Raw genomic sequence first — 12,392 nt, 5'->3', positions numbered from 1 at the left:
AGTAAGAGCCAGGCATATGGACCCCTCATGTGTACACTGTACGTGACTTATGGATTGGGCTGACAGCTTTTCTTGCCCACGCATACAGCTATTTATTTCTATATGTGTATAGCTTGTTATGATTAACAAATTCAACATTTTATATAGAACTTTTATATGCATCTCGTAACTTTTGCCAATATGTTTTTCTCTCAACAGATAATGCAAGTACCATTGCTCTCATTTATGGGTTTGTGAATGCTGAGATTAAGAAGGAATCGTGAGTCTCTACAAGGTTGGAGACTGTAATGTGCCCTGCCTGGCTGGCTCTGGCTTCACACTCTGCATTGTGTGTGCAGGGAGCTTCTGGACACTCTGACGAGGATCTGGTTACCTCTGCACAACACAGAAGACAGGTTGAGGAAGACGGAAAGCTGAGGGGCTTCTTCAGGGAAAAATAATCTCAGCGTAGCATCCCTGTAAGCCTGTCTCCATCTTACTTGAAGGTGAGTTAGGGACACATGGAAACCCTTATGTCCCCAAACATCCCCCACATATGTTCTGAATGTTCCATGCTCCTGTAACCAGGAGAGCTCACCCTTCACTGTGGAGAATCCACAGTAGACTGGGCTCCAAATACCTGGTTTACGATGAAGCCCTGTTAGTTTACTGCCACGTTGAAGTGACACATCTCCCGTGTTCTTTTCTTGAAGAAACACCTTGATTAGAAGAGAAGGCGTGAGGTTTAAGGAATCTGGGAAGGGAAGAGAGTCCCATGGAGGGAAGAACAGTGTGGGTTTTTGTGCCATTAATTTAGATTTTAGGCATGATGGTTTTATGTCAACATGGAACAGAAGGGAGGAGTCAGGAACTCTCATCCAGCAGAACAGGATGGGGTGGATGGTGGTCTGCGATGGAGGCAGCGATTCAGCCAGGTGGGAGAGGCCCAATGTGTTAGTACAATTCCAAACGGTCCTGTTTGAGGCAATGGCTGGCCCTGGAGCTCCAAGCTGGCCCTAACAGCAGCATAGAAGTAGAGGCATGAGGCTGTGTGCAAGTGGAGAGCCCTGTGGGCTGCAAGTCAATGTTCAGGGCGTCTGCTTTGGAGAACAAGGATCTCATCACTAGATAGACTTTTGGGGACTGGGCTCCAAATACTAGGAGAGGGGTGGACACAAGCCTTTAACATCATGGGATGACAGCCAAAAGCCGAGGGAGATCATGGATCTAAGTGATTACAGGAGGGACATGTGGCAACAAAGACTTCTTGCGGGCTACCATGGGAACCCAGTGCATAGTACTGCAATATCAAGATTTAGGATGAAGATAAGAACTAAGTCTTGGGGCCATAATGATGGAAATGACAAGGCCATAGGCTGAGGCAATTTGAGTACAGCTAAATACTGCCCAGCCTGTAATTGAGTCTGTTTGCTATGGTGGTATTGTTACTGTGCCTCAGGACAATTTACTAAGGAGGGCTTCAGACAGGGAAGTTGGTAGTGATGCCTTCAAAGAAAGGAAGTCCTCTGAACCTCCACCCGATCCCAGGGAAACATGGCCAGCTTTGGTCTAAGACATTCAGCCTCTTTAGCATAGCAAAATGAAGCTATTCTTGTGTCCCTCTAGTGCAAAAGTTGTACATTAAGTTGAAGAGCCATATCATAGCCACATATAAAAGGTTTCTTTACTGTGGCTGTTTTCCTCTGTGCATAACTGCTCTTTGAGAAGATGGGAAGGTGGGAGCAGTGATATCACAGTAGGATTTAGGCATTTCTAGGTCTCTTAATTAAAATGTCACCAGAACTTCCCTTATTACCTCCTCCACTGTGAAACTCACCATGCATAATGAGGACAGGAGATTCTGCCACAGTTTCTGGCACTGGAGAAAATGAAGTGAATCATTTTCTCTTCAAATCAGCAAGATAGACCTTGTTTTTTACCAGTGCTTGGAGTGGACGCAAGGAGAGGGGAGGATCTTTTGGCCACCCTGTTCATCCTTACGACATTGGTGGAATAAAAAGAAAGAGACAGAGATAGAAGAAGAGGCCTAACCAATTATGTTTTCAAGATTGAGTCCCTAGAACACTGGGATTGAAACCTGACATGTCTAGGTCACTTCCATGGGTGATGGGTCCCTCCTGAGAGGTAGGGAGTATGATAAATATGTAGGATTAGCATTTTACTAGTGCAGGGACCTCTTATTCAACTGCTCTATCTCCAGAACTGAGGCCAGATCCTGACATATGGGAGGTCTATAATAAATATTTGTTGCATTTATAAGTGAGTGTCCTTTTTCTCTCAAAGGCTGACAAGGACCTCTGAAGACACATTTACTTACTCAATAGCTTCCATTCAGCTTACCATTACCAGCAATGAGTAGTTTATACATTCACAATAGTCCCGATAAAACAGCATAGCCTAAGATCATTGTTTCTGGAGAGATTTTGAAAGACTCCAGTGAGAAGCACTGTCTTCATTGTAAGTAAGTAGATCTGTTGCGACACTTCCAAGGCGAAGATAGCCAGCTTCAAAACCTATGTCATACTTATATTTTTGATAGAAGGTGTGTCTGTATAATAGCACCTCAAGGAACATAAGAAAGCATTTTCATTCTATCATATGAAATATACCCTACATATTTATCATTGCTTTTTTGGGAGGAATTAATGAAATCTGTGACATGTACCCAACAAAAGTTGAGGGTGAATGGAGTCACTGCTGGTACCAGCCACAGGGTGCTCTGTTGCTGCTGGGTTTAGAGGGGGTTGCTTCAATTTCTTGCTTTTTTTTTTTTTTTTTTTACCTGTTTTTGTGTCTTTCCTTCTCATTTTCAAGCTCTGTCTCTTCTCATTTTTTTTTTTTGCGTTTTTTTTTTACGTGCTATTTTCCTTTCCTTTTATATTCAGCTCTGTTCTGGAATTCCCCAAGTGTTCCTCCCCACTCCAGTAAACCGCATGCAGAGCAATGGCACACAGGAGGCATTCTCAGCTTCACATTTGGAATGAGCCAGTCTAAGAGATCATCTTCTTAGGAAGGGACAGAAAGGTTCTCCCTGAGGTTATGCCAACACAGAGATATTTATCAACTAGTTCTTACCACTAGAATTGGACATTATATCAGAGCAGTTTCTTGAAGCTGTGTCTAATATGTGTAGTCACTGAACAAAACTATTTGTTGACTACGTGACTGGCTACTGAATGTATATATAAATAGGCATGGTAAATTTTACAACTTGACATAAACAAATGTAGACTACTTGTAGTCATGCCAACTGAAAAGGGTGAGCAGCTTTTCAAAGATTCCATCAAATCTCAGGAAAGCAAAAGCCTCACATTCCTTTTTCTCTATCCCCAGGGACTTGCTTGGATTTCTCCAAATCCATCGTTTGTGTTGTGCCAGGCCATGACTATTTCTCTCTGTGATAAATACTTAATGCAAATGGCAAGCCATCCTGAGGGAGGCTGGCATCCGTACCTACTGAGAAGGCCAGCAAACAGTGTGTGAAGCACCGACGTCAAAGGCCATTAATGCAAATGCAAATTGACATTTTTCATCAAGGTCTAACAGTACACCAACAGGTAGGCCAACCACTGTGCTGCCTGTTTACAGAAACACGTTGCTAATCAGTCAGCACAATCCACTCAATACCAGTGTTCCTCCACATTTGCTTCTTAAGCTTTTTGAGAGCATTAAATTAGTTTCAATTAGTAAAGCTAATGTGTGCAGAAATATTGAACATTTTAATTTAATGGAAAACACCCTGCTGGGTGAGAAATATCATTTCTATCTGGAGCCCATTTTTGTAGCACAAGCCGCTGGCTGCATATCTTGAAAGGTTAACCACAGGTTCATTACAGTCCAAAACACTGATGTTGACATTGTTTTGCATTTCTTACAGATCATTAAAAAGCTCGATATTCATTTCTTCAGTGATGAGGTTCATCTGGAAGTTAAGGATTTAATTTGTGGTTTTGAATTTTACCTTTTTCCTGTTAGAGCACAAAAGAAAAACTATTGCATCACGAAAGTTCTCTATCATGTGAATCGTTTCCATACACATACAACAGTGAAATATTGCCAAGCAGCAATAATGAAACAGTCACCCTTTTCCTCACGATAGCCATATACATTCTCAGCTCTCCAATTCGTTGCCACCATTAGCTCTGTTTTATTTATTGTGCCTGAAGCCTGATTTCCAATGGGAGGCCTTGTATAATGGAATGCCAGTAGACTTCTAGCTCCCTGTGATTTAGATGCCAGCTTTATGCTCCATAATAAAACGAGAGAACTAGACACACATGAGAAAATACATTTTATCTACTGGCTGATGTTCATATGTTGAATGTTAGAAGGACTTTGGTTTTCAGCCATCACTAAATTTCACAGAGTTGCTGACATAATTTCACACCTTCCTGTGGGCCATAATAATGACAGGAGAATTTTAAATGTGGGATTTGACATGGAGAAATACATGTAAAGTTTACTACAGCCACCAAAGAATGTTATCTCAGTGATCAAATACAAAACAAAAATTAAATACAGCATTATACAGAAGTAGTTATTTATCCTCACCCATCATATTGTGAAGGAAATTACTGCATCAATAAAAATGAAACAAAAAATAGTCTGGTGTTATAGCTGAAGGGAAAGAGTGAAGGTGGAGGGAGGGTGGGAATGAGAGACAGGGAGAAAAGATACTAGAGTGTCCCATGGAATTCAGAGTTTCTACTTTGAAAATAGAGAAATCTGAAAGTCTTGACACTGATTTGTGGTTGGGTTTGGACCATGGAGAGCAGCAGAAGGAGATCACAAGGAAGGAAAAGGGATGAGTGACCCACATGCCAAACAGTGGAACCAACTCTGAGATTTCACTTTTCACCATCCCCCAGGGGACCAGTCAGCCACATGGTGGCTGCTGAACATATTAAACCCAAATCCTTGCACTTCATGGGTAGGCACATACTTGACTTACAGATTTGATTTTCCTACCTGCAGTTCTTCTTTCACAACTACTATTCCTGGACTTACAGAATGCCATATTCATTGACACACAATGTTGCCTCTGCCCAAGAGATGTATTTTACGGCAAAGGAAGTGTAGTAATGGGCTTGCAACCTTGAGGTTCATGGGTTCTTACCAAGATCCTCATGCCTCAGAAGCATCTGGCCTGATGGAATAGTGAATGGCTTGCTGAAGGTTCAAACATGGCCCTAGTTAGAGCCCACACCTCATGATGTGGGACTACACTCTTATATGTGTTGCATATGCCTTTAACCAGTGGAGAATACATGGTGTTATGTCTATCATTAACACAATGCTCAGATCTGGTAACTAAGGAGAAGTGCAAATGGTCTCCTTCAGAATTCTTCCTGTTAACCTACTTGAGTTTTTTTCCTTCTGTTCCCATAACCTAGGCCTTCTGTATTTAGAAGGCCTAATAACTAAGGAGTGAGTGCTTCCATCCAGGAATATTATCATCCTTCCATTGAGCTGGAAGCTGAGATTGCCACTTGCCATTTTGGCTTCCTCAAGCTATAAAACAAACAGATACAGATGTCACTGTGGTGGCCGTAGGGATTGATCTCAATTACCAAAGTAAATTTAGCTTGCTGTTATACAGTGGGGATAAGGGAGACTATGCCTGGGTCAGAGGATTTATTGGGGAGTCTCCTATTACCCTCTTGTCAAAAAGTACTGGCCAGTAAAATTATTCAACAACCCCCCAAAACAAACAAACAAAAAAACAAACAAAAAAACCTACCACCACCAACAGGCCACCAAGGAATCAAATCCCAGTGAAACAAAAGTTTGATTCATTCCACTAGGTAAACAACCTCTGCAACTGCAATACAGCAGAAGGAGAGGGACAAAGAGGAGGTAGTGGAATATGCAGCTGCAATGACCACCAATTTAGGCTGCATGAGCAGCTGTAGGACTGGGGCTCCAAGAGCTGTTTCCTGTTAATGAACTTTTTCTGTTTTCCTTTCTAACAGTAGTGGCTTTGAGATTTCAAGTGTCGAATGACAGCATTGACATTACCTATCAACATTCCCCTTGATTGTTGCTGGCTCCAGAGTCCTTGTGGTTTTCCTACATTCTGCACACATCTTTGTGAATAGTCACTTATTTAAACTATCCTAAAATTATGCAGTTAATGTGCAGTCTCTTTCCTGCTTGGACTTTAAATAATATACCCCTTAAACAAGTATTTCAATATTCTCTTTTACATTTTTTTGATAAATATTTTATAACAATTATATTCAATATTTGTATAATTATTTGTTATATGAACTTCTTTTATACACATTATCTCATATATGACACTCATACCAATATTCAGAGAAATATATTAATGTTTCTACCTCATAGATAAGGAAAATAAGAATAGAACTGTCAAAATGTCCAGATTCGTAAACGTGAAGCAATAGAGCTGAAATTGATTTTTTTTCTTCTGGATCCTTTCCATTATACAGTAGCTGTTTTATAGACAATAGCTCAAGTGCTTTTTTTATTGTATACAATAACATTCACTTCTTCTGATACATAGTTTTATGAGCTTTAATACCTGCATAGCGCTATTTGGCCTCCACCACAATGAGAACACAGAAAATCACATCATCTCCCCAAATTGTCTCATGCTATTTCTTTGCCATCCGTGTTCCCATTGTTCCAGCACCATTTCTTGAGAAGATTATCTTTATCCATTAAATTATTTTTTGTAAATTTATTAGACAACAATCGACCATATTACTGTGGATCTATTTCTGGACTCTGGTATCTATATTTTTGCTCATAATGTCGACTATTGAAGTTTTGTATCTGGTAATGTGAGTCCTCCAACATTATTCTACTTTTTGAAAACATTTTGACTATTCTATTTTTTTTGCTTTTCTATGTCATTTTAAAATCAGTTTATCTACAAAAATATTGCTTAGACTTTTATTGTAATCGAGATAACCCAGTATAAATTTGGTGAAGAGTTGTTAAATAAACTATATTAATTTTTCTGATCCATTAACACAGCATGTCCTTCCATTTATTTAGGTCTTTGATTTCTTTAATCAGTATGTATTAATTTTCAGCATGTAGATCTTGCTCATACAAGGGGTCTTCAAAAGGTTAATGAAAAATGCATCTTATCAATTTTTTGCACCAAAATAAACTCTTATTAATGTAATATAGCATTTTTGAACATGATCTAGTTTGAGACACTAAGAAGGACAAGAACAACTTTCCTATGGAAAGCATTCTTATCAGAACAATATGAATTCCGCTAAAATTGAAGCAAGAAAAAATATCAAATTTGTGGTGAAGATTGGATGGATGAAAGAGTGTGGAAATCATTGTTGCTTTATAGAAAGTTTATAGGCACAATGACCCCTCAAAAATCAGCAGTTTATATATGGTTAACTCACTGTAAGAAGTGACAAGATGATTTTGAAGATGAAGTTCACAGCAGCAGACAATCTACATTCACATTAGCTTGTAAGAAAAAAAGTTATCTTGTTTATGCTGTAATTGAAAAGCACCAAAGACTGGCAGGTGAAACAATAGCCAACACCAGAAACATCTCAACTGGTTCACTGTACACAATTCTAACTAAAAAACCAAAGTTGAACAAACATTCCACTTGATAGAGCATATGCCTTTAACCAGTGGAGAATACATGGTGTTATGTCTATCATTAACACAATGCTCAGATCTGGTAACTAAGGAGAAGCGCAAATGGTCTCCTTCAGTATTCTTCCTGTTAACCTACTTGAATGCCAAATGGTGCCAAAACCATTGGGCCCACATCAGCTGCAGACAAGAGCAGAGCTTTCTATGGAAATTTTAAACACGTGGGATCAAGATATTGAAGCATTGCTTCAGAGAATTTTCACAGGAGATGGAATGTGGCTTTATCAGTATGATCCTGAAGACAAAGCACAATCAAAACAACGGCTACCAAGAGGAGGAAGTGGTTCAGTCAAAGCAACAGTGGACCAGTCAAAAGCAAAGGTTATGACAACACATTTTTGGCTTGCTCAAGATATTTTTTTTTGCTGCATATCTGGAAGGTCAAAGGACAATAACATCTCCTTATTATTAATATGCTTTGAGACAGTTAGCCAACACATTAGCAGAAAAGCACCTGAAGAAGCTTCACCAGAGAGTGCTTCCCTATCACAACAATGCTTCTGCTCATTCCTCTCATTAAATAAGGTCAATTTTGCAAGAGTTTTGGTGGACAATTATTAGGCATTCACTTACAGTCCTGATTTGGCTTTTGTGGACTTCTTTTTGTTTCCCAAATATTAAAACATCTGTCAAGGGCATCCATTTTTCTTCAGTTAATAATGTAAAAAAGACAGCACAGACATGGTTAAATTTCCAGGACCCTCATTTCTTTAGGAATGAAGTAATTGGTTGGTATAATCATTAACAAGTATCTTAATGTTCATGGAGCATATGTAGAGAAATAAAGTTTATATTTTTTATTTTTATCTTTTGATTTTATTTTTTCTATGAACATTTTGAAGTCCCCTTGAGTGTTGTTGTATTTACACCTAACTAATTTTGAGCTATAATAAATGGTACGGTTTTACTAATTTTAGTTTACAATTCTTCAATTTAGAATTAAGTATGTGGGAATATAAGCAAGCATTATAAGTTGACTTTGTATTCTGAAGCCATGCTAAATTCAATTATTTGTTCTAGAATGGTTTTTTTGGTAGATTCCTTGAACATTTCTACATGAATAATTATGTTGTCTGTGAATAGGAAAAATTGTATTTTTTCCATTTTGTATACATTTTATTGGTCTTGCTTTGTTGTATTGGCCAGAATTCATGATGTTGAATAGAAGTATAAAAAGTAAACATGCTTGCTTGCTCCTCAACTTAAGGGAAGAGCATTAAGTTCGATGTCATCTATATGAATTTTTGAGTTTCCTTTTATCAGATTAAGGCAATTTTCTCTTATTTGTAGTCTGCTGGGGGTTTTTATTATATAAATATATTAGTCTTTTTCAAACGTATTTATACATCTGTTGAGATACTTATGTGGTTTTTCTTTTCAATCTGTTAATATAGTGAGTTACATTGATTGCTTTTCTTGGGAAATTGACCCTTTATCATTATGTAATGTCTCTTGTTTTCCTTAGCAGTTTTTCTACTTCTTAAGTCTACTTTTTTTGGTATTAATATAACTACCCTAGTTTTATTTGATTTAGTGTTTTAATTGCATCTCTTTTTGTTCTGTTTTTACAATATATCTATATCATAATACTTAAAGAAGGCCTCTGATAGGATTTCTTGAATATAGTGGATGGTTTTCTTTGTTTGTTTTGGTTTAAATTCAATATAGTTGATGTGTTTAAACTCTTTATTTACATTAAGTATAATTATTAGCATTGTTAAATTTTGTTCTAATATTTTATTATTTTGTTTGATTTCTTTGTTTTTCTTTCATCTATTTTTCTTTCCATTATGTCATTTGTATTTCTTGAATATTATGCACTATTCCATTTAAATTTATCTATTGGCTATTTGTATCTTTTTGTGCAATATTTTTAGTGATTGATTACAATTTGCAACTTAACTTTTCAAAGTTTGCCTAGAAGTAATATTTACTGCTTCAAGTGCAATGCAGAACCTTGAAAACATATGGGTACTTTCATTTTCTCCCTTTATGCTATAATTGCTATATGTATTATATCCACACACATTGGAACTTCTATTAAACAATGGTATAAATTGCCAACTGTCATATACATTTTTTAAAACTTAGAAGAATAAATATATTTTACTATATTGATTCAGATATTTACCATTTACTATGCTCTTCATTCCTAAAGTATTAGATTTCTCTGGTGTTATGTATTAGTCCATTTTCACACTGCTGATAAAGACATACTCGAGACTGGGCAATTTAAAAAAGAAAGAGTTTTATTGGACTTACAGCTCCACATGGTTGGGGAGGCCTCACAATTTTGACAGAGGTCAAGGAGGAGAAAGTTACTTCTTACGTGGATGGCAGCAGGCAAAGAGAGAGCTTGTGCAGAGAAACTCCCATTTTTAAAACCATCAGAACTCATGAGACCTAGCATGAGAACAGTATGGGAAAGACCCACCACCATGATTCAATTATCTCCCACTGAGTCCTCCAACAACTGGTGGGAATTCTGGGAGACACAAGACGGGATTTGAGTGGGGACACATGGCCAAACCATATCATTCTGCCCTGGCCCCTCCCAAATCTATCTTCATATTTCAAAACCAATCATGCTTTTCCAACAGTCCTCCAAAGTCTCAACTCATTTCAGCATTAGTTCAAATGTCCACCATTCAAAGTCTCATTTGAGACAAGGCAAGTTCCTTCTGCCTATGAGCCTTTAAAATCAAAAGCAAGTTAATTACTTCCTAGATACAATGGGGATATGGGCATTGGATAAATAATCCTTTTCCAAATTGGAGAAATTGGCCAAAACAAAGAGGCTACAAGCCCCATGAAAGTCCAAAATCCAGTGTGGAAGTCAAATCTTAAGCTCTCAAATGATCTCCATGTCTCACATCCAAGTCACAATGATGCAACGAGTGGGTTCCCATGGTCTTGGCAAGCTCTGTCTCTGTGGCTTTGTAGGGTACAGCCTCTCTCCTTGCTGCTTTCACAGGCTGGCATTGAGTGTTTGTGGCTTTTCCAGGCACATGGTGCAAGCTGTCAGTGATCTACCATTCTGGGGTATGGAGGACGGTGGCTCTCTTCTCACAGATCCACTAGGTAGTGCCCCAGTAGGGACTCTGTATGGGGGCTCCATTCCCACATTTCCCTTATGCAACACCCTAGCAGAAAGTTCTCTGTGAGGGTCCTGCCCCTGCAGAAAACTTCTGCCTGAACATCCAGGCATTTCCCTACATTCTGGGAAATCTAGGAGGATGTTCCAAAACCCCAATTCTTGACTTCTGTGCATTTGCAGGCTCAACACCAGGTGGAAGCTGCCAAGGATCAGGGCTTGCACCCTCTGAAGACATGGCCTGAGCTCTACATTGGTCCCTTTCTGCCACAGCTGGAGTGTCTGGGGCGCAGGACACCAAGACTCCAGGCTGCACACAGCATGGTGACCCTGGGCCTGGTATATGAAACCACTTTTTTGTCCTAAGCCTCCGACCTTGTGATGAGAGCAGGGGCTGCAGTGAAGACCTCAGACTTGCCCTGGAGACATTTTCCCCATTGTTTTGGGGATTAACATCTGGCTTCTTGTTACTTATGCAAATTTCTGCAGCCGGCTTGAATTTCTCCTTAGAAAATGGGATTTTCTTTTCTATCGCATTGTCAGGCTGCAAATTTTCCAAGCTTTTATGCTCTGCTTCCTTTTTGAAACTGAATGATTTTAACAGCACCTAAGTCACATCTTGAATGCTTTGCTGCTTAGAAATTTCTTCCTCCAGATACCCTAAATCATCTGGTACCATTTTACTGTATTACTCCATTTTCACACTGCTGATAAAGACATACCTGAGACTGGGCAATTTACAAAAGAAAGAGGTTTATTGGACCTACAGTTCCATATGGCTGCGGAGGCCTCACAATCATGATGGATGGCAAAGAGGAGCACTCGGTCACATCTTACGTGGATGGCAGCAGGCAAAGAGAGAGCTTGTGCAGATAAATTCCCATTTTTAAAACCATCAGATCTTGTGAGACCCATTCACTATCATGAGAACAGCATAGGAAAGACCCACCACCATGATTCAATCATCACTCACCAGATACCTTACACAACATGTGGGAATTATGGGAGCTACAAGATGAGATTTGGGTTGGGACACAGAGCCAAACCATATCATATTATTTTCCTATTCCCTGAAGAGTTTCCTTTATCATTTTTCTCTTTTCTAAAGAGATGAGGTCTATGTTGCTCTGGCTGGTCTCAAAGTCTTGAACTCAAGCCATCCTCAGCTTCCCAAGATGTGGAACTACAAGTGCACATCACCATACCTGGCTAGCATTTCTTTTAGTGCAATCACTCACAACACATCTTCTTAATTTGCTTTCATTGAAATTGTCTTTATTTTGCATACATTGTTGAAGAGTATTTTTATTGGACATAGAATTCTAGGTTGACAGGTCTTTTCTTTCAGAGCATTTATTATTTTTTATTTTACTGTTTTCTGACCTCCCTGATATCTTATGAGAAATATATATTCATTCATTTTATTTTTCCCCATATTTAATGTGTCACTTTTAGTGAGCTCTTTTCAAGAATTTTTATTCAACTTTGTTTTTTTTTCAGTAGTTTGATTATGATGTTATAGCGCATGAAACATTTTTAGTGAAAAAAACTTAAATCAGTGGTGAATTCTTTTTCCTTGTCAACCATGTCTTCTTGTAGACTCTTCAGTGTTTCTTCATGGCATCTCAATTTACTACGT

At 38.6% G+C, this 12,392-nt stretch overlaps 1 long non-coding RNA gene across 1 annotated transcript; it reads left to right on the top strand.

Moving 5' to 3' along the window:
* The first annotated feature begins 363 nt into the window (after positions 1-363).
* On the top strand, positions 364-3,919 carry LINC01593 (long intergenic non-protein coding RNA 1593). The gene is made up of 3 exons (NR_135071.1): positions 364-485; positions 3,334-3,557; positions 3,878-3,919. It is a non-coding gene; the product is annotated as a long intergenic non-protein coding RNA 1593 (long non-coding RNA).
* Positions 3,920-12,392: the final 8,473 nt, after the last annotated feature.

This window comes from Homo sapiens, chromosome 2 (genome assembly GCF_000001405.40).
Source record: "Homo sapiens chromosome 2, GRCh38.p14 Primary Assembly".
In the NCBI taxonomy this organism is placed as follows: Eukaryota; Metazoa; Chordata; class Mammalia; order Primates; family Hominidae; genus Homo; species Homo sapiens.
Note: the sequence above shows the minus strand (reverse complement) of the source record. Positions and strands in the feature narration are given on the sequence as shown.